This window comes from Homo sapiens, chromosome Y, assembly GCF_000001405.40.
Source record: "Homo sapiens chromosome Y, GRCh38.p14 Primary Assembly".
NCBI classification, from domain to species: Eukaryota; Metazoa; Chordata; class Mammalia; order Primates; family Hominidae; genus Homo; species Homo sapiens.
The window spans coordinates 855,778-881,680 of NC_000024.10; the positions used below are offsets into that span (position 1 = coordinate 855,778).

Genomic DNA, 25,903 nt, shown 5'->3' on the forward strand with positions numbered 1-25,903 from the left:
CTATCATTTCTGAATCCCCAAAAATAAATGTTATACATTTTAGCTGGGGTGGGTAAAATGGACAGAGTCAAAGCTCTTAAAAAGTGACTTTTTCAAGGATCTAGAACCAGAAATGCCATTTGACCCAGCAATCCCATTACTGGGTATATACCCAAAGGATTATAAATCATTCTACTATAAAGACACATGCACACGTATGTTTATTGCAGCACTATTCACAATATTAAAGACTTGGAACCAACCCAAATGTCCATCAATGATAGACTGGATAAAGAAAATGTGGCACATAGACACCATGGAATACTATGCAGCCATCAAAAAGGATGAGTTCATGTCCTTTGCAGGGACATGGATGAAGCTGGAAACCATCATTCTCAGCAAACTATCACAGGAACAGAAAACCAAACACCGCATGTTCTCACTCATCAGTGGAAGTTGAACAATGAGAACACATGGACACAGGGAGGGGAACATCACACACCAGGGCTTGCTGGGGGGTGGAGGGTTAGGGAAGGGATAGCATTAGGACAAATACCTAATGTAGATGACGGGTCGATGGGTGCAGCAAACCACCATGGCACGTGTATACCTATGTAACAAACCTGCACGTTCTGCACATGTATCTCACACAACTTAAAGTATAATAATAATAATAATAATTAATAATAATAAAGTGACTTTGCAGTTCTCCAAGACAGGCAAGATTTCCACTGTAGAAACATTTCAAGAAACAGTGTGAGCCGTTTTAAACAGACGCTGTCACATCCAGGCAGTTATTCATCCCGCTGACTCTCAGATTACTGACCAGGGTACACGTGGTCGTATTACTGTGGCAGAAATCACTGGATGATATTATAGCTCACCATAGAATTCGAAACCTATTTTTTAATGCAATTTTTAAATACAGGCATTTGAGATAAATGTCCTTGAGTATTCTTCTGACATCTTAAAGCAGTTCCTTTCCAAATCCCTTGTGGCGTTGAGAAATGAGCTTGTAGGAAAAACGCTTAATTCTTTTTCCTGATTCGTAGCGATCAATGTTGAAATCAATCAAGTGGGGTCACATCGGCCTTTCCAAATAATAGTCCAAAGTTTTCAAATTAAAAAAAAAAAAAGCATTATGAGTTATATGAATTGGAGTAGACAGAACTGGATTTCTTTTTTTTTTTTTTCACTAGGCTTGTTTTAGGAATTATAACTTTACGATGTTCTGTAAGTTGCATGTCTGCTTTTTGAATGGCCCCTGTGGTTTTTGGAGTTCCTCTCCATGCCTGTACAAATCTCTCTGCCTCCCGAGGGGTCTCCAAAGTGGAAGATTACAGGCCACTGAGTCATGGCCGGATCCTTTTCAGGATGACAAAGCAATGCAGGCTTGGATTACAGAAGCCAGACGTGTTGCATATTAATCTACCTTCTACCCAGGAAAAGCAAAAACTGGAGGGAGAGTAAGAGCAATTAATTTAGAAGTGGCCGTGGGGAAGGCTCTTAGAGTCTAGATGAGAGAAGAGAGTCGGTTATTTACTCACAATATGGAGTTTTATTTTATTTTTATTCCCAGGGTTCTATCGGCATGAATTTCTCAGAAAAACAAAAACGAAAACACAAAACAAACAAACAAAAACCTTGAAGCCACAATGGCTGATAATTCATAAAATAATTATTCCATATAAGTCTCAGGCTGCATTTATATTTGAATTATAATTGGGATGAGAGGCAGGAAGTGCATAGGAATGACTTGTTACCACGAGCCCGCGCTCTGGAATGCAAAGCTGTAATTTTTAACGATGAAATGGCAGATATCTACACAGATCAGTGGAAAATACCTTAATTTTCCATAAATTTTCCTTCATGGTCCCCATGGGACCCGTAAGGTCTTCAACTGTGCTTGGGTGGTTTTTCTTTGGAGGAACACAGAGTTTCATCTTCTGGTGTATCCAAAGTCTCACATATGTTGCTGGCTCCCAGCAAGATGGGAAAAGAAGAAAAGAAAAAAAAAGAAAAGAAAAGAGAAGAGAAGAGAAGAGAAGAGAAGAGAAGAGAAGAAGAGAAGAGAAGAGAAGGGAGGGGAAGGGAAGAGAAGGAAGGGAAGGGAAGGAAAGGGAAGGGAAGGGAAGGGAAAGGAAGAAAAGAAAAGAATGAAGAAAAAGAAAAGAAAAGAAGATAAAAGAAAAGACAGGAAAAGAAAAGAAAGGGAAGAGAAAGGAAGAAAAGAAAAGAAATTTTACATTGATTTATTTATGGAAAATTAAATTTGTGGTCATGGGGCAACGTGTGGTGGACTGGAATATAGGCTCCCAAGAATCAGGGTGGGCATCAGAAAACAGAGCCGGGTGTGTGGAAGGCAGGAATAGCAACTCCTTCGGATTCCTGGTGGTTGCTATGCACGGTGACTTTCTTCATCTTGAAAATAATAGCGGCATTGCGTATCGTCTCACAAATACAGCACTAAATAATGAGGTAAAGAGTCTAATTCGCCCCCACATACCTCAGTCGCTGCAAGCCACACTCTAAGAAATGGTGGAGATGGTGTGCGTCTTACTGATGTAGATTTTGGGGTGGGCTCTCCAGTTTGGGAGACCAGGGTGACCTCCATGATCTCCTACTTCCCCAAGGCAGGTGTAGCACAAAACAAACACAGCTTACTCTACCCCTGATTGGGGAAAATCTCCTAAAAAAAATCCCGTCCTATCACTGTTCTTCTGTAACCCCATAACTCCTTCACCTCCCCACCTTGGGACCCACAAAGTCTCCAACTCTGTTTGGGTGGTTTTTGTTTGAGGGAACACAGAGTTTCATCTCTTGGTGTAACCAAAGTCTCACATATGTTGCTGGCTACCAGCAAGAGGAAAAGAGAAGAAAAGAAAAAAGGGAAGGGAAGAGAAGAAAACAAAAGGAAGGGAAGGGAAGGGAAGAAAACAAAAGGAAGGGAAGGGAAGGGAAGGAAGAGAAAAGAAGGGAAGGCAAAAGAAGGGAAGGGAAGAGAAGGGAAGGGAAGGGAAAGGAAGGGAAGGGAGAAAAGAAAAGAAGAAAAGAAAAAAAGAAGAAGAGGAGATAAAAGAAAAGAAAAAGAAAAGAAAAGAAATTTTACATTGATTTTTTTTTAAAGGAAGTGAATGAAATATTGAATTTTTTTTCCCCCTCCATGGTCAACCCCCAGGAAGTCTTCCCTGTTTCTATCTCTTTACCTCCTTTGATAAATGTGGGGACAAATTATTCATTGGATTCTCCCCTGCTCTACTCCTGTCTTTATTCATTTTTTTAATTACTGCAAGTACATAGTAGGTGTATATAGTTACGGGGTAGGTGAGACGTTTTCATGCCCACATGCAATATGCAGTAATCACATTAGGGTAAATAAGATATCCATGAACTCAAGCATTGAGGCTTTGTGTTACAATTCAATTATGCTCGTTTAGTTATTTACAAATGTACGATGAAGTGATTATTGATGATACTCACCCTGTTATGCTAGCAAAAACTAGGATTTATTTATTCTTTCTAATTATTTGTTGGTACACATTAACCTTCCCCACCTCTTCCACACAAACTCCCCACTATCTTTCTCAGCCTCTGAGAACCAGCCTTCTACTCTTCTATTTCCATGAGTTCAATTGTTTTCAATTTTAGCTCCTGCAAATAAGTGAGAACATGAAGAGTTTGTCTTTCTGTGCCTGGCTTATTTCACTGAACATAATGACCATCCGTTTTATTGCAAATGGCAAGATCTCATTCTTTTTCATGGCTGAATAGTATTCCATTCCATATGTGTAACACTTTTCTCTTCTTTCTTTCTTTTTCTTTCTTTCATTCTTTCTTTCTTTTTCTTTCTTTCTTTCTTTCTCTTTCTTTCTTTCTTCCTTCCTTCCTTTCTCTTTCTTTCTTTCTTCCTTCCTTTCTTCCTTCCTTCCTTTCTTTCTTTCTGTCTCTCTCTCTCTCTCCTCTCTTTTTTTTTTTTTGACAGAGTCTCGCTCTGTCACCCAGGGTGGAGTGCAGTGGTGCGATCTCGGCTCACTGCAACCTCTGTCTCCCAGATTCAAGCGATTCTCCTGCCTCAGCGTCCGGAATAGCTGGAATGACAGGCGCCCACCACCATGCCTAGCTGATTTTTCTATTTTTAGTAGAGATGGGGCTTCACCGTGTTAGCCAGGATGGTCTCGATCTCTTGACCTTGTGATCTGCCCTCTTCGGCCTACCAAAGTGCTGGGATTACAGGCGTGAGCCACCCTGCCCGGCCTTTTCTTCTTCTTCTTCTTTTTTTTTTTTTTTTTTTTTTTTTTTTGAGCAGTCTCTCTCTGTGACTCAGGCGGGAGTGCAGTGGCGTGATCTCAGCTCACTGCAACCTCTGCCTCCCAGGTTCAAGCGATTCTCCTGCCTCAGCCTCCCAAGTAGCTGGGATTACGGGCACCCGCCACCACGCCCGGCTCATTTTTGTATTTTTATGAGAGACAGGTTTCCACTGTGTTGGCCAGGCTGGTCTCGAACTCCTGACCTCAAGTGATCCATCTGCCTCGGCCTCCCAAAGTGCTGGGATTACAAGCGTGAGCCCCCTCGCCCGGCTCATTTTCTTTATCCATTCACCTGTTGATGAACACTTACGTTGTTTCCCAATCTCAGCTCTTGGGAACAGTGCTGCAATATACTATGAGATTGCAGGTATCTCAAAATAAAATAAAATAAAATAAAATAAAATAGAGCTACCATAGAATTCAGTAATCCTACTTTTTTGTATTTTTAGTAGAGACGGGGTTTCACCATGTTGGCCAGGCTGGTCTCCAACTCCTGACCTCAGGCGATCCACAAGCCTCGGCCTCCTAAACTTCAATATACTGACTTCTTTTATTGAGGGTGTATGCCCATCAGTGAGTATGATTGCTGAATTCTATGGTAGCTCTATTTTATTTTATTTATTGTTATTATTATTATTTTGAGACGGAGTCTCACTCTGTTGCCCAGCCTGGAGAGCAGTGATGGGATCTCGGCTTACCGCAACCTCCACCTCCCGGGTTCAAGTGATTCTCCTGCCTCAGCCTCCCCAGTAGCTGGATTAAGGCACCAGCCGACACTCCTGGCTAATTTTTTTTTTAATATATTTTTAGTAGAAACGGGGTCTCACCATGTTGGCCAGGCTGGTCTCGAACTCCTGGCCTCAGGTGATCTGCCTGCCTCGGCCTCCCCAATTACGATAGCTCGATTTGTAAGGGAACCTCCAAATTGCTCCCCATTGCGGTTGCACGAATTTACATCCCCACCCACAGTGGATGGGGTGAGATTACGCCTGTAATCCCAGCACTTTGGGAGGCCAAGGCGGGCGGGTTACTTGAGGTCAGGAGTTCGAGATGAGTCTGTCCAACATGGTGAAACCCCATCTGTACTAATAATACAAAAATTAGCCGGGCGTGGTGGCGGGCACCTGTAATCCCAGCTACTTGGGAGGCTGAGGCAGGAGAATCACCTGCCCCTGTCTTTAATATTGTGAAGACACATGAAGGGTGATATAGAATCAAGAAGAAGGATATCTTATTCGAGTATCAGACACTACCCCAGCTCTGTCCTCCCACAACCCCTCTGAACTTTGCTCGGAACGTAGAGGAAAAGACGTCCCTCCTGCTCCGGGAATCCCAGAAGAAAACTCCAGCCTGACAGAAGGAGGTTTATCTCCACCACCAGGACAGGAAGCTTCGCCCTGAGTGAGCAGGTCAGAAAGAAACAAGAGCTGCGTTCCCGACGTGGGGAAGGGCCCAAGCTGTGTGTTCATGGAGTCACATATTTTTCTGTGACATTTGCAGAAGGTATTTGGCCGGCCTCCTGGTAAGAGTTGAGACTGCTGGCCCTTTCTGTTTCTGTACCCCATCTCGGATGAACAATACATTCCATAGACATTCCCTAGACAGAGCCCACAGCCAGGACCCACATTTGAAGCCCCCGTGTAGACAGACACACAGTCCACAGCCAGGACCCACATTTCAAGCCCCCGTATAGATGGACACACAGTCCACAGGCAGGACCCACATTTAACCCCCGGTGTAGACAGACACACAGTCCACAGGCAGGACCCACATTTAACCCCCGGTGTAGACAGACACACAGTCCACAGGCAGGACCCATATTTAACCCCCGGTGTAGACAGACACACAGTCCACAGCCAGGACCCACATTTCAAGCCCCCGTGTACAAGGACACACAGTCACTTCTGTGATTTTGCATTCTTTTTTTTTTTTCTTAAATGGACTCCTCCCAAATGGAAACACTTCAATCCCCAAATAACTCGTCGTCCGCCCAGGACTCCTATCCAAGGGGTTCAGGCAGTGCACACAGCATATGGTTGTCTTTTTGCCTAAACAGCAAGGAGACATCGTGTGTCCCAGGGGGCGGACCCGTATGCACAATTCATGGGCGTCAGGTAAGATTCTGGAACAGTGCTCTGAAATCCAGCTGGGAAGAAAGTCAGAGGAAGTTGCAACTCACAGTTTAACACATATTAACTCTTTAGTCTGTGGATTCCTCATCGTGGAAAGGAGGAAAATGCAATCATCAAAGAAAGTGAACATTTGGGATGAAAATGACCTCCTTCCTCCTGAGGGTGGCCCCAGGCAGGGTCAGACCCCGGAACACAGACACAGTCGGGAAATCGTAACCACTGTCAGGTCCTCGCACACCTGCAATTTGGGTCTCTCAGAAACCTCATTTTAACAAACCGCATTCTCCAATTCCCTCTCTCTGTGTGCGTGTGTGTGTGTGTGTGTGTGTGTGTGTGTGTGTGTTTTGGGTTTTCTTTACCCAATCTCTTTTGGTAGTCTAGGTGAACCTCTTTTGGTATTTCTCGGATACTTCATCCCTTTTATTATTATTATTATTATTTTTTGAGATGGACTTTCACTCTGTCGCCCAGGCTGGAGTGCAGTGGCGTGATCTCGGCTCACTGCAAGCTCCACCACCCGGGTTCACGCCATTCCCGGGTATGCCTCAGCCTCCCGAGAGCTTGGACTACAGGCGCCCGCCACCACGCCCGGCTAATTTTTTGTATTTTTTTTGTAGTAGAGACGGGGTTTCACTGTGTTAGCCAGGATGGTCTCGATCTCCTGATCTTGTGGTCCACCCACCTCGGCCTCCCAAAGTGCTGGGATTACAGGCGTCAGCCAGCGCGCCCGGCAGACCCAATCTCTTTTGGATCAGATGTTTCATCCCTTTTTTTTTTTTTTTGAGATGGACCCAGGCTGGAGTGCAATGGTGCCATCTCAGCTCACTGCAACCTCCACCTCCCAGGTTCAAGAAATCCTCCTGCCTCACCCTCCCGAGTAGCTGGGACTACAGGTGCACGCCACCACGCCCGGCTAATTTTTGTATTTTTAGTGGAGATGGGATTTCACCATGTTGACCAGGCTGGTCTCGAACTCCTGACCTCAGATAATCCACCTGCCTCGGCCTCCCAAAGTGCTGGGATTCCAGGTGTGAACCACCGCGCCCAGCCTAGGACCCACACATTTTAAGCCCCGGTGTAGATGGGTGTTACCAACCCTAAACCCAAAAAGATCACTCCTATGTAGGATCATTTTGGTTTCATTTTCATAACAGGCAACATCGTACTAACTCTCAGAATCAGCTTTTCCTGGGCTCTGTGGTGAAAGATGATGTTGTCACCTGTCACTCTGCACAGAGAGAGATGCTTTCCAGCCCCCGAGAAAGGGCCCTCCATGCCTTTGGACACAAGCTCAGCTTCCTTCCCCTGTAACTCCAAAAGCATTTAAACTCTTTTCCTGGCCGGGTACGATGGCTTTTTTTTTTTTTTTTTTTTTTTTTTTGAGATGGAGTCTTGCTCTGTGGCCCAGGCTGGAGTGCAGTGGCGCGATCTCGGCTCACTGCAAGCTCCGCCTCCCGGGTTCAAGCCACTCTCCTGCCTCAGCCTCCTGAGTAGCTGGGACTACAGGCACCTGCCCCCACGCCCGGCTAATTTTTTTGTGTTTTTAGTAGAGATGGGGTTTCACCGTGTTAGCCAGGATGGTCTCGATCTCCTGACCTCGTGATCCACCCGCCTCGGCCTCCCAAAGTGCTGGGATGACAGGCGTGAGCCACTGCGCCCGGCCCAGACACTTTAAGTTACAGCAGACGGTGTCTTTCACTCCAGCGTGTGCTCAACAGATGAGTGTCTTGAGTCCAAATTAAAAACGTCAACAGTAAATCTACATTTTATATATGTTTTCTTTAATGATTTTTTTAAGGCACCAAACAGAATGAATAAAGAAGGGGAATGATGGAATGGTGGAAACTCTGTTTTTGTTTTTGTTTTTGTTTTTTCTCTCTTTCTCTCTTTTTCTTTTCCTCCTAGAGTTTGCCATGAATTACGTGTGGTCTAGCAGCCAAAGGAAGTGAACTGCAATAAACCTACAAATATAGGCTGTACAGACTCGACGTTTTTGCATTTCGAGTTAAACCCAACAAGACGTTAATTATGACCAGCCTGACCAACATGGCGAAACCCCATCTCTACTAAAAATACAAAAATGAGCCAGGCGTGGTGGCGGGTGCCTGTCATCCCAGCTACTCGCGAGGCTGAGGCAGGAGAATCACTTGAACCCGGGAAGCGGAGGTTGCAGTGAGCCAAAATTGTGCCACTGCACTCCAGCCTGGGCAAAAGAGCGAGGCACCGTCTGGGAAAAAAAAAAAAAAAAAAAAAAAAAAGGTTCATCAAATACCATGCGGTGCTTTTGCAGGTGGAAAGCTGCAGGATTGAATTGTTACAAATTATCTGCCTCCCCACAGCCTTTTTGTGTGTGTGTGAGATAGAGTCTCGCTCTGCAGCCCAGGCTGGAGTGCAGTGGCACGATCTCGGCTCGCTGCAACCTCCGCCTCCCGGGTTCAAGTGATGCTCCTGCCTCCGCCTCCCGAGTAGCTGGGATGACAGGCACCCGCCACCCTGCCTGGCTAATTTTTTGTATTTTTAGTAGAGAGACGGGGTTTCATCATGTTGGGCAGGCTGGTCTCGAACCCCTAACCTCAGGTGATCTGCCCGTCTCAGCCTCCCAAAGTGCTGGGATGACAGGCGTGTGCCACCACGCCAGGCTATTTTTTTGTATTTTTAGTAGAGACGGGGTTTCACCGTGTTAGCCAGGATGGTCTCGATCTCCTGACCTCGTGATCCACCCGCCTCGGCCTCCCAAAGTGCTGGGATGACAGGCGTGAGCCACCGCGCCCGGCCAATACCAATCTTGCTTCAACCCACTTTCCCCCTTGGTTGGTCCGAGGTGCAAACACAGATCCATACACAACACAGACACTCAAGACACACACACACACCTTTAGACAACGTACATGTATAGACACAACACAGCACGCTCAACAGACACACGCACGCATACACAACACACAGTCAACAGACACAAACATATCATACACATACAACACACACTCAAGACACAACGGCTGTACACGACACACATATATATAAATAATGCCACACACGATCAACACACACACACAACATACACTCAAGACACATCTACATAGAACACACGTGTATATACACAACAGACACACACACACAACACACAGTCAAGAAGCAACATCTATACACAACACACATGTATATACACAATACCACACATGCTTAACAGACACACCCACAAGACACACTGAAGACACAACATCTATACACAACACATATGTGTATACACAATGCCACACACAATCAACAGACACACACACAACACAGTCAAGACACATCTATAGAGAACACACGTATACACACAACAGACACACACAAACACACAATCAAGAAATAACATCTATCCACAACACCCATGTATATACACAATACCACACATGCTTAACAGACACACACGCAAGACACAACATCTATACAGAACACACATGTATATACACAATACCACACATGGGATCAACAGACACTAATACGCAACACACATTCAACAGACAAATGCACAAACACATCATATATAGAAGACACACACATCTATACACAACACAACACACTGAACAGACACAGAAACAACAGACACACACACAACATAACATGCTCAACAGACACACAACACACAAGAGACACGCACAAACACATCATATATACAAGACACACACATCTATACACAACACAACACACTCAACAGACACACACATACACAACACACAACAGACACACACACAACACGCTCAACAGACACACAACACACAAGAGACACACGCACAAACACATCATATATACAAGACACACACATCTATACACAACACAACACACTCAACAGACACACACATACACAACACACAACAGACACATACACAACACGCTCAACAGACACACAACACACAGACACACGCACAAACACATCATATATACAAGACACACACATCTATACACAACACAATCAACAGACACACACATACACAACACACAACAGACACACAACACGCTCAACACACACAACACACAAGAGACACGCACAAACACATCATATATACAAGACACACACATCTATACACAACACAACACACTCAACAGACACACACATACACAACACACAACAGACACACACACAACACGCTCAACAGACACACAACACACAAGAGACACACGCACAAACACATCATAAACACAACACACGCACTCAAGACACACATGGACACACAACACAGTTTAATGTAGGTTTCCTGCCGTTTTAGAACTGAAAAAAGAAGAATGAGGCGTGTGGGCTCATTGCAGAAGTTAACTAATGCTCTGAGATTTAATTTTTCAAGGAAAAAATGACCGTTTCTACATAGACATGTCCATAGACCATTTCTACAAGGAAGCACCGATTTGCAGCGTCCATCATGGGGACCTTTGTTTGCTTCCCCCTCTATGGGAAAATTACTTGGATGCCGCTCTTGTTTTAAGCCACTCTCGCCCTTGGCTGGTCCGAGGTGTAAAGACAAATGACTTTGGGATAAACGTGGGGTTTGCAGCAAAGTGTGAGCAGGAGTCACGGGCTCACCCCAGAATGTGGGGAGGCCAGACGTGGGGCCCGCTTCCTGCCGCCACTAATTAGCTTGGGTTTTATGGCCGGTCGTTAAAAAGGCCGGGTCAAACAGTTGCAAAGTTATGAAACAGCCACACAGGCTAAAGACCTGGGCTTTGCAGAGGTATGAATGTTTCGCTGTGTTGCCAACTTCTCCTGAACTTTGGCGTCCTCATGGGGAAAAAAAAATGTAAAAAAAAAATAAAAAAATAAAAAAAAATATCATATCTGCCTATTAAAAAGATTAGAAGCAAAAAAAAAAAAAAAAAAAAGAATCCAGGATTGAAGCAGGAAAAGGAGTCTTATGTCCACACAGCCAAGTCAACCTCAGCAAAATTAACTCCGTCTTTTCCGAGACGTCGTCACGATTATTATTATTATTATTTTTTGCTTCTAATCTTTTTAATAGGCAGATATGACATTTTTTTTATTTTTTTATTTTTTTATTTTTTATTTTATTATTATTATACTTTAAGTTTTAGGGTACAGGTGCACAATGTGCAGGTTAGTTACATATGTATCCATGTGCCATGCTGGTGTGGTGCACCCATTAACTCGTCATTTAACATTAGGTGTATCTCCCGATGCTATCCCTCCCCCGTCCCCCCACCCCACCACAGTCCCCAGAGTATGATGGTCACGATTATTTTTCTGTGATGACAGTAAGAGTCAGAAAATGTACCACCTTGATAAAGATATAGTTATCATTAGGTGCTTCTTGGGCCAGCTAGGAGATGATTGGGTTGTAAACTTGGGGGCTGGCTCTTGAGAAGGCATTCATTTGCTTTTGTGTTTTCACTCAGAAACCCACATTGATACTGGGCTTTGGAACTCTCCTCTGATTGCAAATTCCTGTCTTCCTAAGACAGGGTGGAGGGTTCCAGGGCTCCGTGTGTACGTAGGTGGTCAGGTCAGCCGGCCAACGCACCGACGCTACAGCAAATGATACGTATAAATTATTGGAGCACTGCGGGAATGGCAATTTGACTTTTTATGAGCCTGTAACGACGTCCCTAGAGAAGAGTGTGTATGTGTGTGTGTGTGAAATTCTGGAAAGGATTTTGCATTTTCATAGATTTGGCACCACTGACTTTAAAAGGGGCTGCTCTGGGTTTCGAATTTCTCCAGTCATCAATAAGAGCCATTTTGGTGGGGTTTTTTTCTTCTTCTTTTTTTAATGTCTGGTTTGTGCAGGAAATATAAAGATTGTAATCCTTGTTGACGAGGGGTCTTCAAAGAATGAGACTTTGGGGTGTAAAAGGGAGCTTACCCGTCTACATCTTGGGCATGGCAGTTTGGGCACCTATTTCAAGGGTGTGGGCACGAAACCACAAGCTCCTGTGAGCTCATATCGCTGCTGATGGGTTGACAGAGTAAGCGGGTTCCGGACACTGTGGCAGTTTAACCCAGACTCAGAAAAGCAAGGCAGAGATGAGACGGTCAGCTGCAAGCACCCTTTCTTCCCGTAGGCTGGTGGGCTGAGACGCTGCGTCTCTTCCTGCCTAAACCTGTTCTGGATGTTTTCACCACAAACTGGCATCTGCAATGTAACGGGCTGGAAAACGGGCAGTGTGGGGGATTGGATTGGCCCTGCTTGGGGGTGTCTCTCTTGAGGCCGTGAGCCCTGACTCTCTGCTCTCTGATCCATGAGGGTGGACTCCGGAGGCAAGGGGATGAGGCAGATAAGGGAAGGGAACGGACAGACTAGCGCTTGGAAGAAGAAAAAGGTTTAGATATTGTAAGGGTTTCCTGGGGATGCTGTCACAAGATGCCAAAAACCAGAGGATCAAACAAGAAAAATTTCATCTCTCCGCGTCCTGAACTACAGTCCTCCTAAAAACTGTATATACATCCTCAGTCTCATAGCCTGTGAACGGGACCTTATTTGGAAATAGGGTTTCTGCAGATGCAGGTAGTTAAGGATTTCAACATGAGATCATCCTGAAGTAAGGTGGATCCTAAATGCAATGACAGGTGTCTTTCTAAGAGACAGAAGAGGAGACACAGACACGGAGGAGAAGGCCACGTGGAGATGGAGGAGAGACAGGGAGGACTTCTGGACTCCAGGAAGGCCAGTATTGGGTCCACTATGATTGTGTTTAGTTCCTCCTGGAGGCTCTAGGGGAGGGTCCTTCCTGCCTCTCCCAGCTCCTGGGGGCTCCAGGCGTCCCTGGGCTTGTGGCCGCATCACTCCAGTCTCTGCCTCCGTCTCCACGTGGCCTTCTCCTCTGTGTCTGTGTCTCCTCTTCTGTCTCTTAGAAAGACACCTGCCATTGCATTTAGGACCCACCCTACTCCAGGATGATCTCATGTAGAAATCCTTGACTTAGTTACATTTGCAGAGACCTTATATCCAATTAACGTGCCATTCACATATTCTGGAAGTTAGGCTGTAGAGATAGCCTTTAGGGGGACTGTAGTTCAATTCAAAACAATTGTATTATCTTCCCTCTGGAGGCTGTAGGGGAGGGTCCTTCCTGCCTCTCCCAGGTCCTGGGGGCTCCAGGCATCCCTGGGCTTGTGGCCGCTTCACTCCAGTCTCTGCTGCCATCTCCATGTGGCCTTCTCCTCTGTGTCTGTGTCTCCTCTTCTGTCTCTTACAAGGACACTTGTTATTGGAATTAGAATCCACCCTAATCCAGGATGATCTCATCTCAATATCCTTAATTTATTACATCTGCAAATACTCTGTTTTCAAGAAGGGTTTCATTCACAGGTTCTATGAGTCAGGACATAAACGTGTTTCTTAGGGATCACCATTCAATCTACTAGAATTGTGTTCAGTTCCTTCTGGAGGCTCTAGGGGAGGGTCCTTTCTGCCTCTCCCAGCTCCTGGGGGCTCCAGGCGTCCCTGGGCTTGTGGCCCCATCACTCCAGTCTCTGCCTCCGTCTCTATGTGGACTTCTCCTCTCTAAGTGTATGGAAACTTCCCTCTTTTTACCAGGACGCGACTGATTGGATTGAGCATCCCCTCTGCTCCAGTCTTTCCTCATTATACGTCCATAATATCTGCAAAGACCCTATTTCCTACAACACCACGTTCACAGGTATGTACAGTTAGGACCTTAACAGATATTTTGAAGAAACACAATTCAGTTCACAACAGACATGTTTTTGAAGGAAACGGAAAGTCATTGATTTTTGTTTTTTTTTTGTTTTTAGTGAAGCAGATGGCAGTATTTTAAGGTAATCTTCCATACCGTGGCTCCAACTTCCTATGCAGAAAAATCCTTTTCTCTCTCAATGAGGAGCCTAGTTTTCAAGATTAGCCCAGCGTGGTGGCTCACGCCTGTAATCCCAGTGCTTTTGGAGGCTGAGGCAGACAGATCATGAAGTCAAGAGATGGAGACCGTACTGTCCAACAAGGTGAAACCCCATCTCTGCTAAAAATGCAGAAATTAGCCAGGCATGGTGGTGGATACCTGTCATCCCAGTGCTTTGGGAGGCCAAGGTGGATGGATCATGAGGTCAAGAGATCGAGACCATGCTGTTCAACATGGTGAAACCCCATCTCTACTAAAAATACAAAAATTAGCTGGGCATGGTGGTGGATGCCTGTCATCCCAGTGCTTTGGGAGGCCAAGGTGGATGGATCATGACGTCAAGAGATCGAGACCATGCTGTTCAACATGGTGAAACCCCATCTCTACTAAAAATACAAAAATTAGCCAGGCGTGATGGTGGATGCCTGTAATCCCAGTGCTTTTGGAGGCTGAGGCAGACAGAACATGAAGTCAAGAGATCGAGACCATACTGTCCAACATGGTGAAACCCCTTCTCTACTAAAAATACAAAAATTAGCCGGGCATGATGGTGGATGCCTGTAATCCCAGTGCTTTTGGAGGCTGAGGCAGACAGATCATGAAGTCAAGAGATGGAGACCATACTGTCCGACATGGTGAAACCCCATCTCTACTAAAAATATAGAAATTAGCCGGGCGTGGTGGTGGATGCCTGTAATCCCAGTGCTTTGGGAGGCTGAGGTGGATGGATCATGAGGTCAAGAGATCGAGACCATGCTGTCCAACATGGTGACACCCCGTCTCTACTAAAAATACAAAAATTAGCGGGGTGTGGTGGCTCACTCCTGTAATCCCAGCTACTCGGGAGGCTGAGGCAGGAGAATCGCTTGAACCTGGGAGGCGGCGGTTGCAGTGAGCCGAGATGGCGCCACTGAACTCCAGCCTGCTGACAGAATGAGGCTCTGTCTCAAAAAAAAAAAAAAAAAAAAAGATTTGTTCTTTTTTCCCGTTTCTAATTATCGGTGTCAGTTCCAAGGTTGTAATGATGTAATGAGTAAGACTTGATGCTGTGTGTTTGGCTGGAGTTTGTAGCTTTGAAAGGATCAAGTTGGAAGCCACATTTCTGATTCCCAGCTAAGAAAACTCTGGGGGAAATAAGTCAGGGAATGCAGAGAGGTCGGCGTTCACTTTCCAACGTGCCTGGTAGAAGTCAAATGTTCTGGCCAGGTGCGGTGCCTCATGCCTGTCATCCCACCACTTTGGGAAGGCGAGGCGGGAGGATCATGAGGTCAGGAGTTCAAGACCAGCCTGGCCAACATGGTGAAACCCCGTCTCTACTAAAAATATAAAAATTAGCAGGGTGTAGTGGTGTGCCTGTAATCCCAGCTACTCCGGAGGCTGAGGCAGGAGAATCACTTGAACCCGGGAGGCGGAGGTTGCAGAGATCACGCCACTGCACTCCAGCCTGGGTGACAGAGCGAGACTCCCTCTCCAAAAAAAAATAATAATAAATGAAAAAGAAGTCAAATGTTCCTCATGCCAGCATCGTGGTCTCTTGAGAAGACCAGGCTGAACTTGGTGAGCCTAATTCTCTGCCAGGAATGCTTTCTCTTCTGCGGGAATTCTTAGGGAAAGCCTCTCCAACAGTCTCATGCATGGACTAAAAGTTCCTTGGATCTAGGCAGGAATTTGGGAGAAATTGGGGGTTAGGCCCCTTCATAGACCCGACACACCATCCATGAGTTGCAACGGAGGTCCCCTTGCAATTTAAGCAACGCAACAAATCAGGGCAGGCAGCAGTTAACTTCTTAATTCCCCTTCGGCAATTCAAGGCTTTCACGGCGACCAGCTATTAGGCTGAGAAATTAGCTTTTACAGGAGGATTGCTCCATATTCCATATGCTGCCTTTCCCCTGGAGCTTGGAACTATAAATATCAACCCGATAATGACACGATGGTGGATTCTCATTCAGCTTGTGCATGTGTGGGTACGTGTGTGTCTGCATGCGCATGTGTGTTTGTGCATGTGTGTGCATGAATGTGTGTGAGGTTGCGTGTGTGCATGTATGTGTGCGCTCGTGTGTGCGCGCATGTGTGTGCATGTGTGCACGCATGTGTGTATGTGCATGTACGTGTGTGAGTGTGCATATGCGTGCACGTGTGCATGTATGTATGTGAGTGCGTGCATGGGTGTGCATGTATGTATGTGTGCATGTATTCTGTGTGCATGAATCTGTGAGGTTGCATGTGTGTGCACATACGTGTGTGCATGTATGTGTGTGTGCATGCGTGCGTGCATGTGTGTGAGTGTGCGTGTGTGCATGTGTATGTGCATGTACATGTGTGAGTGTGCATGTGTGCATGTATGTGAGTGTGTGTGCGTGTGCATGCATGTATGTGTGTGTATGTGTGTGCGTGTGCGTGTACGTGTGTGTGCACGCACGTGTGTGTGCATGTGTGTGTGACTGTGCCTGTGTGTGTGTGTGTAAACGAAATTCTTCAGAATGGTTTGCAATCTGGGGCTGATGTTTAATTGACAGGGGTCGGGGTGGCTGGTTATTTGGTCAAAGAAGTTGAATTAACTCCGCTGGAAATTGCAGTCCCAAAACCTAATGCTTTTCTCCAATTTCTTTTTTTTCTTTCCTTCCCGTCCCTTCCCTCCTCTCCCCTTCCCTCCTCTCCCCTCCCCTCCTCTCCCCTCCCCTTCCCTTCCCCTCTCCCCTCCCTTCCCTTCCCCTCCTCTCCTCTCCCTCTCCCCTCCCCTCCCTCTCCCCTCCCCTTCCCCTCTCCCCTCCCCTTCCCCTCTCCCCTCCCTTCCCCTCCCTTCCCCTCCCTCTCCCCTCCCTTTTCCCCTCCCCTTCCCCTCCCCTCTCCTCCCTTTCCCTGTCCACTCCCCTTCCCTGCCTTCTCCCCCTCCTTTCCCCTCCTCTCCCCTCCCCTTCCCCTTCCCTTTCCCCTCCCCTTCCCTTCCTTTCCTTTCCTTTCCTTTTTTCTTCTTTTCCTTTTGAGACAAGGTCTCACTTTGTCACCCAGGCTGGAATACAGTGGTTTAATCACAGCTCACTACAGCCCCTGCCTCCCAGGCTCAAACAATGCTCCCACCCCAGGCTCCTGAGTGTCTGGGACCACAGGCGTGCATCACCTTGCCTGGTCAGCATGGCGAGACGTCAACTCTAAAAAATACAAAAGTTAGTGGGGCATGGTGGTGCATGCGTGTGGTCCCAGCTGTTCGAGAGGCTGAGGCAGGAGGATTGCTTAAGCCTGGGAGGCAGAGGTTGCAGTGACTCGAGATCACGCCACTGCCCTCCAGCCTTGGCAACAGAGCAAGGTCTCATCTCAAAAAATATATATATATATATATAAAGAAATATATATATATATATATAAAATATATACATATATTTAAATTATATATAATGTATACATATATTTAAATTATATATAATGTATACATATATTTAAATTATATATAATGTATACATATATTTAAATTATATATAATGTATACATATATTTAAATTATATATAATGTATACATATATTTAAATTATATATAATGTATACATATATTTATATATAATGTATACATATATTTAAATTATATATAATATACATATTTGGATAGTTTTATTTATTTATTTATTGGAGTCTTGCTCTGTCCCCCAGGCTGGAGTGCAGTGACATGATCTCTGCTCACTGCAACCTCCGCCTTCCAGGCTCAAGCGATCCTCCTGCCTAAGCCTCCCGAGTAGCTGGGATTACAGGCGCCCGCCACCACCAGCTACTGGGGAGGCTGAGGCAGGAGGATCGCTTGACCCTCGGAGGCGGAGGTTGCAGTGAAGCGAGATTGCACCACTGCACTCCAGCCTGGGGGGCAGAGCCAGACTCTGTCTAAAAAAAAAAAAGAAAGAAAAAGAAAAAAAAAACCTGCACGTTGCTGGATGAGGAAGGGCCTTTTTTCAAAAAGTTGCACTTTTTTTCCCCCTATACTTTACTTCTTTGCTGTCATTAGCTAGGACTTGAAAGGGCAGGAACTCTAATTGTGTTTCCTCTGTGGGGCACAGAGTCCTGTCTCGACCCCGTCGTGCTGCCAAAGAAAACGCCGGGTTCCCTTCCACGTTGTTCATTTTCCTTTTCCTGCCCACTTAACAAAATTATATTCAATGAGTTGTGGGGGGAATTGACATCAACGGGCCGCGTCACGCAATTTCTGGTGAATATTCGAGAAGGGGGAAGCAAACAGTCCGGGTTCCTTCACATCTGTCAGAATCAATCACATTGTACCAAACCGAACGTAATCGCTTGCAAAGAAAATGAGGCATTTCCAGTGAAATCAGCCTCCCTTTACCCAGGAACATGTCCATAGTTAAGAGGTCTCTGTTTTAGGTTTTTTTTTTTTTATTTTAATCTTGCCTAATTAGTTTTTTTTTAATCACCCGTGCAACCGAGTCTCCAGACTGCATAATTGATGAGATGCAGAAGCCAGTGTCAGAAATCAAATGTCGTAAATTAAAAATAACAAGTTTGAGACGAGTGATTCAATTAAAAATCCAGAAAACATTGGATTCTGCATAACTGAACGTTTGCATAGAGACACCGCCTGTCATCCGTATCACGTTGCACCCGAGGATTGGATTGGGGCTGTCACGGGTATTTCAATCAACTCAGTAAAAAAAAAAAAAAAAAATTAGAAAACAAAGATGATATTTATTATTAACTTCCCGTGTTCAAAAACCACACGGAGACGTCTTTAGGTGGACTGCTTTACAGGACCAAGATTTATGTTAAGGGGACACTGCAGACACAAGAGGCCTGGCTGGCTGGGATGTAGGGAGGGTCCCCCTGGGACTGTTGGACCGTTTTCTGAGTACGTGAGGCTGCCAGGAGGACGGGGCTGCACAGAGCCGACTGGGACCCTCCAAGACGGACCCTGAGAAACCTCACTGGGTCCTCTCTCTCTTTTTTTTTTTTTTTTTTTTTGAGACGGCTTTTCACTCTTGTTTCCCAGGCTGGAGTGCAGTGGTGCAATCTTGGCTTTGCAACCTCTGCCTCCCGGGTTCAAGCGATTCTCCTGCCTCAGCCTCCCGAGTAGCTGGGATGACAGGCGCGCGCCACCACGCCTGGCTAAGTTTTTGTATTTTTATTAGAGACAGAGCTTCACCATGTTGGCCAGGCTGGTCTCGAACTCCTGACCTCAGGTGATCCTCAGGCATCGGCCTCCCAAAATGGTGGGATTATAGGCGTGAACCACCACACCCGGATCTCTGGGTCCTCTCTTATTTGCCCCATCTCAGCCCTGCAATTTATCTTAATAATGCTAAGGACAAATCCACTCTCCATTTCCAACATTTTATACATAGAATGACAATTCCTCTTTTTTTAATTTTTGCTTATTTATTTATTTTTTGAGACAGAGTCTGGCTCTTTTTTTTTTTAATTACAGGAGTCTCGTTCTGTTCCCCAGGCAGGAGTGCAGTGGCACGATCTTGGCTCACCACAACCTCCACCTCCCAGGTTCAAGCGATTCTCCTGCCTCAGCCTCCCAAGTAGCTGGGATGACAAGGTGCCCGCCACCACACCCAGCTAATTTTTTGTATTTTTAGTAGCGATGGGGTTTCACTGTGTTGGCCAGGCTGGTCTCAGACTCCTGACCTGGTGATCCGTCTGCCTCAGCCTCCCAAAGTGCTGGGATTACAGTTCAGCCTAACAAGGACCCAGGAACAACATATCTGCAGATAACCATAGAATCAGCTAGGATCCATGCCACCATTAAATACATGGAAGGCCCAGGTGTGGTGGCTCAGGCCTGTAATCTCAGCACTCTGGGAGGCCGAGGTGGGTGGATCACTTGAGATCAGCAGTTCAAGATCAGCATGACCAACATGATGAAACTCTATCTCTACTAAATACAAAATATCAGCCAGACGTGGTGGCAGGTGCCTGTAGTCCCAGCTACTTGGGAGGCTGAGGCAGGAGAATCCCTTCAACCTGGGAGGTGGAGGTTGCAGTGAGCCGAGATGGCACCATTGCACTCCAGCCTGGGCGACAGGAGCAAAAATTCTGTCTCAAAACACACACACAAACACGGTGGGACTAGGACTGAACCCTGATTCATGCCACTGCAGCTCAGAGGTCCTGGCTCCGCCACCTTCCCTCTGTGTGCCTCAGTTTCTTCTCCAGCCAATTGCCTAAGAGGTGGCTCAGTCAATGAGGGTATTGAACCAGTCCCTATAAACTCCATAAAATTAACCAGGGAAGAAGGGAGGGGAAGAAACGAAAATAGGCCAAGCCTGCAGAACCCTCAGCATTCATCATGAAATCAGCTTTCTTTTTTTCTTTCTTTTTTTGTGTTTTTTGGAGACAGAGTGTCACTCTGTTGCCCAGGCTGGAGTGCAATGGCATGATCTGGGCTCACTGCAACCTCCGCCTCCCAGGTTCAAGTGATTCTCCTACCTCAGCCTCCGGAGTAGCTGAGATTACAGGCATGTGCCACCATGCCCACCTAATTTTTGTATTTTCAGTAGAGATGGGGTTTCACCATGTTGGCCAGGCTGGTCTGGAACTCCTGACCTCAGGTAATCCACCCACCATGGCCTCCCAAAAGCTTTCTTTTTGACCTGCTTCCTCATAGCTGTTTGGTGCTGATTGTCCCAGAGTCACATAGATCCTAGCTTACGGTCCCCCTTCCCTGCTCTATAGGTGACAACTTAAGCATCAGGAAACATTTAGTTTTCCCTTTGAGATAGTCTTCCAGGTCCTGCATGCCAGCTACTGACACCATAGATATCTAATATTTATAATAGCTTAAAAAAATAATACTGACACCAGCTGGGCTGAAGGACCCCACAGGAGCTGACTCACCAAAGACTTCAGTTTCCCCATCCAGATGGCTTCATCCCCCTTACCCCAGCCAATTAATGACCCCAATTTTCCAGCCCCTTGTGCTTCATAATCCCTTTAAAAACTCCAGCCCAGAACTCCTCAGGGAGACAGACTTCAGGGTCTCCTCCCATATCCTCGCTCTGCACCTTGCAAGCATTGAGTTTTTTATCTGCTGCAAAGTCTGCTTTCTTGGTGTCCTGATCTGTTCATGATCCCTTTTAAAACTCCAGCCTGGCTGGGTGCGGTGGCTCACGTCTGTAATCCCAGCACTTTGGGAGGCCGAGGCAGGCAGATCACGAGGTCAGGAGTTCGAGACCAGCCTGGCCAACATGGTGAAACCCTGCCTCTACTAAAAATTAGCCAGTTATGGTGATGTGTGCCTGTAATCCCAGCTACACGGGAGGCTGAGGCAGGAAAATTGCTTGAATCTGGGAGGCGGAGGTTGCAGTCAGCTGAGATCATGCCACTGCACTCCAGCCTGGGCAACAGAGCAAGACTCTGTCTCAGAAAAAAAAGAAAAAATCTCCAGCCTACAACTCCTCAGGGAGATGGACTTCAGGGTCTCCTCCCATCTCCTCCCTCTGCACCTTGCAATCTTTGAATTCTTTCTCTGTTGCATACCCTGCTGTCTCAGTGTCTTGGTCTGTTACTCTGCAGGGAGCATTCACACGGTAGTCTTGTAACAGTACAAGGATACCTAAGTCCATACAGCTGGGGATCAAGCCATCGTTGCCCATTGGCTTCACTTTAGGGCTGTAAACTCACATTCATGTAAGGTTTCCCAATGAGTGAATTCTGTATTCCCATAAGCATTCACATTCCTAGTGTGAGAATAGCAGAGTTTAGCTGGGCTCACCTGTCTACCAGGTGTGGAGGCACCATTTGCAGTTGCATATGATGGAGCTCAAGGCTCAACTTCCCCAGCATCCCACAGTCTGACCTCACTGGGACCTTTCATGAAACTGTGACTCAGTCTCTTCTTCTTGATGATGAAATACTTTGCACAATTCAGTTCACCATTTTAAAGCACCTGGAATGTGTGAGGCACTGTGCAAACACTAATTTGGTAAACTTAGATTTCAGAAGGAGAATACCTGGCGTGGCATATATTACTATTTATTTATGGTCTATTTTATTTCTCTCAGTGAGATTTTGCAGTTATCTGACTAGACATCATATATAACTGTCAGATTTTTTCTTTAATATTACATTTTATCCTATTATAAATATTAGATATTTATGCTATTATACTATGTTTAAATATATTTTATGCTATTATAAATAAATTAATTGATGATATTATAAATAAATATAAGTTTTACATTACAATATGCTATTATATATCATATATAATAAAAGTGTATATAAATTTTATACAAAAGTTTATATGTAATATACATTATATTATAGATAATAAGTTTATATATAAACTCTATATTTGTAAACTTTATATAACCTATTATCTATAATATAGTGTATATTATAGATAATATAATGTATATATAATAAAACTTTTATTTTATATAAAATACACTTATATATATAAAATAAAACTTTTATTATATATACATAGTAAACTTTTATTTTATATATATAAAATAAACTTTTATTTTAAGTTCAAGGGTACATGTGCAGGTTTGTTACATAAGTAAACATCTGTCATGGCGGTTTCTTGTACAGATTATTTTATCAACCAGGTACTAGGCTTAGTACCCATTAGTTATTTTTTCTGATCTTTTCTCCCTGGCTTTTGCTATCATTTTATGCAAACATAAATAGTATTTTATTCCACATTATGTGAATATGTGTTATTATATGTGTTTACAAAATTAATTCTTTGTTGCCAGCATATATAACTGCAAGCTCATCAAGCTTGTTAATCTTTTTGTTCAAAGTATGCCCTTGGTTTATATGCTTGTTTTTAGTTACTGAGAAAAGTATGTTCAAATCTCTTACTACGATTGTATATATTTTACATTTTCTTTTAGTAATTTCACATTTTGCTTTATATATGTTTTAGCTGTGGTTTTATATGCATACCTATTTAGAATGTTTATGTTTCTTGATTAATAAAACATTTTAAACTAGGATTATTACTCTTTATCACTAGTTAAGACTTTATCTTAAAATGATCTTTAATTTTTTCATTTTTATTCTTTTTTATTTATTTTAATTTTTATTTTATTTATTTATTTTTTTTTTTGAGATAGAGTTTTACTCTTGTTGGCCAGGCTGGAGTGCAATGGTGCAATCTCGGCTCACTGTAACCTCCATCTCCCAGGTTCAAGAGATTCTCCTTCCTCAGCCTCCCAAGTAGCTGGGATTACAAGCACATGCCACCATGCCTGGCTAATTTATGTCTTTTCAATAGAGACAGGGTTTTTTCATGTTGGCCAGGCTGGTCTCAAACTCCTGACCTCAGGTGATCTGCCTGCCTCAGCCTCCTAAAGTGCTGAGATTACAGGAGTGAGCCACCACGCCTGGCCTTAGCCTTGGTTTTTATTAATCTGATGATCTTGTGACTAGAACCTCTAGTTTATTTCCATTTAATAAAATTATTGATACATATGTTAATATCTACCAGCTTATTAGCAGCTTTTGCTTTCTGCTGGTCTTATCTTTTTTACATATATTTTTTGTCTTATCTTCTTTTAGTGTATTTAAGTTTTTTGTTTCCTAGTATATTTCTTCTTTTAGTGTCTTTAAGGTTTTTGTTTTCTAGTATATTTCTTCTTTTAGTGTATTTAAGATTTTTGTTTTCTAGTATGTATCTTCTTTTAGTGTATTTAAGGTTTTTGTTTCCTAGTATATATCTTCTTTTAGTGTATTTAAGCTTTTTGTTTTCTAGTATATTTCTTCTTTTGGTGTATTTAAGATTTTTGTTTTCTATATATATCTTCTTTTAGTGTATTTACGGCTTTTGTTCTCTAGTACATTTCTTCTTTTAGTGTATTTACGGCTTTTGTTTTCTAGTATATTTCTTCTTTTAGTGTATTTAAGCGTTTTGTTTTCTAGTATATTTCTTCTTTTAGTGTATTTAAGGGTTTTGTTTTCTAGTATATATCTTCTTTTAGTGTATTTACGGCTTTTGTTTTCTAGTACATTTCTTCTTTTAGTGTATTTACGGCTTTTGTTTTCTAGTATATTTCTTCTTTTAGTGTATTTAAGGTTATAGTTTTCTAGTATGTATCTTCTTTTAGTGTATTTAAGGGTTTTGTTTCCTAGTATATATCTTCTTTTAGTGTATTTAAAGGTTTTGTTTTCTAGTATATTTCTTCTTTTAGTGTATTTACGGCTTTTGTTTTCTAGTGTATTTCTTCTTTTAGTGTCTTTAAGGTTTTTGTTTTCTAGTATATTTCTTCTTTCAGTGTATTTAAGGGTTTTGTTTCCTAGTATATATCTTCTTTTAGTGTATTTAAGCTTTTGTTTTCTAGTATATTTCTTCTTTTAGTGTATTTACAGTTTTTGTTTTCTAGTCTATATCTTCTTTTAGTGTATTTACGGTTTTTGTTTCCTAGTATATATCTTCTTTTAGTGTATTTACGGTTTTTGTTTCCTAGTATATATCTTCTTTTAGTGTATTTACGATTTTTGTTTTCTGGTATATTTCTTCTTTTAGTGTATTTACGGTTTTTGTTTTGTAGGCTATATCTTCTTTTAGTGTATTTACGGTTTTTGTTTCCTAGTCTATATCTTCTTTTAGTGTATTTAAGTTTTTTGTTTTCCAGTATAATTACTCTCTTCACCAGCACCATTAACTTGAAAGTAATATACTCTTTAACTAGCCTTGCCGAGGTTATCGTAAACATCACAGCACACCCCTGGGTTTTCAAAGTCTAATTCTCACTACTTTTACTCCTCTTTTCTGACAAAGCAAAAATACCTTGGAACATTTACATTCATTGCACTAGGCCGGGTGCTGTGGTTCACGCCTGTAATCCCAGCACTTTGGGACGTGGAGGAGGGCGGATCACCTGAGCTTGGGAGTTCGGGACGAGCCTGACCAACATGGAGAAACCCTGTCTCTACTAAAAATACAAAATTATCTGGGTGCGGTGGCTCACACCTGTAATCCCAGCAATTTGGGAGGGCGAGGCAGGCAGATCACCTGAGGTTGGGAGTTCGGGACGAGCCTGACCAACATGGAGAAACCACGTCTCTACTAAAAATACAAAATTCTCTGGGTGTGGTGGCTCACACCTGTAATCCCAGCACTTTGGGAGGTGGAGGAGGGTGGATCACCTGAGCTTGGGAGTTTGGGACGAGCCTGACCCACATGGAGAAACCCCGTCTCTACTAAAAATACAAAATTATCTGGGCGTGGTGGTACATGCCTTTAATCCCAGGTACTGCAGAGGCTGAGGCAGGAGAATCACTTGAACCCAGGAGGCAGAGGTTGCAGTGAGCTAAGATTGTGCCATTGCACTCCAGCCTGGTGGACAAGAGTGAAACTTTGTCTCAAAAAGAATAATAAAAATAAAAATAAAAATAAAAAACTTGTAACATCTAAATTCATGCACTTCCTCCTGATTCGGATATCACCATTGTCATGCATTTTAATTCTCTGTGTGTTTTAAATCCCTGAAGACATGATGGTTTTATAATGTCAATATATATTTACAATTACTGACATTATCTTGAGTTCTCACTGCTGTTGAGTCCTTCCTAAATTTTCATGTCACATTGGGTCAGCTTCTCTTCTGTCTTTGGAGTCCCTCTTTAATATTCCCTTTAGAGCCAGGCTGTCGGTAGCATATTTTCCCAATTTTTGCT

General features: G+C 43.9%; 10 annotated features.

The window, feature by feature from the left end:
* Positions 391 to 19,186: an enhancer, noted in NCBI's record as "18796 nt extended CNE9 fragment from 19kbCNE9-betalacZ transgene". NCBI's record gives its function as "enhancer in mouse E13.5 embryo fore and hind limbs, mostly restricted to the zeugopodium, also weakly in hindbrain, and in E13.5-14.5 radius and ulna mesenchyme" and the evidence as "EXISTENCE:transgenic organism evidence [ECO:0001131][PMID:23575226]".
* Positions 11,128 to 12,153: a meiotic recombination region, noted in NCBI's record as "meiotic double-strand break mapped by DNA meiotic recombinase 1 chromatin immunoprecipitation followed by single-stranded DNA enrichment and sequencing on the Y chromosome in the germ cells of some male individuals with the PRDM9 A/A genotype". NCBI's record gives the evidence for it as "EXISTENCE:chromatin immunoprecipitation-seq evidence [ECO:0000229][PMID:25395542]".
* Positions 11,470 to 11,645: a mobile genetic element, noted in NCBI's record as "direction; reverse".
* Positions 11,580 to 11,581: a chromosome breakpoint, noted in NCBI's record as "proximal breakpoint sub-region, recombines with the distal breakpoint sub-region within the SHOX downstream enhancer, distal recombination region, resulting in a recurrent 47.5 kb deletion". NCBI's record gives the evidence for it as "EXISTENCE:nucleotide sequencing assay evidence [ECO:0000219][PMID:22791839]".
* Positions 11,602 to 11,614: a nucleotide motif, noted in NCBI's record as "nucleotide motif; similarity to the predicted 13-mer PRDM9 A binding motif (LD hotspot motif), CCNCCNTNNCCNC".
* Positions 18,228 to 19,060: an enhancer, noted in NCBI's record as "CNE9 PCR-amplified transgene fragment". NCBI's record gives its function as "enhancer in day 2 and day 3 zebrafish embryo eye, fin and blood" and the evidence as "EXISTENCE:transgenic organism evidence [ECO:0001131][PMID:21731768]".
* Positions 18,232 to 19,056: an enhancer, noted in NCBI's record as "CNE9 fragment from short CNE9-betalacZ transgene". NCBI's record gives its function as "enhancer in mouse E12.5 neural tissues, including hindbrain and neural tube" and the evidence as "EXISTENCE:transgenic organism evidence [ECO:0001131][PMID:23575226]".
* Positions 18,234 to 19,055: an enhancer, noted in NCBI's record as "CNE9 or ECS4 reporter construct fragment". NCBI's record gives its function as "enhancer in ovo in chicken limb buds, and in human U2OS osteosarcoma cells" and the evidence as "EXISTENCE:reporter gene assay evidence [ECO:0000049][PMID:16385461, PMID:17200153, PMID:22791839, PMID:26631348]".
* Positions 18,679 to 18,827: a conserved region, noted in NCBI's record as "conserved region; CRCNE00011104 more deeply conserved sub-region". NCBI's record gives the evidence for it as "EXISTENCE:sequence alignment evidence [ECO:0000200][PMID:21731768]".
* Positions 18,878 to 18,922: a conserved region, noted in NCBI's record as "conserved region; CRCNE00011105 more deeply conserved sub-region". NCBI's record gives the evidence for it as "EXISTENCE:sequence alignment evidence [ECO:0000200][PMID:21731768]".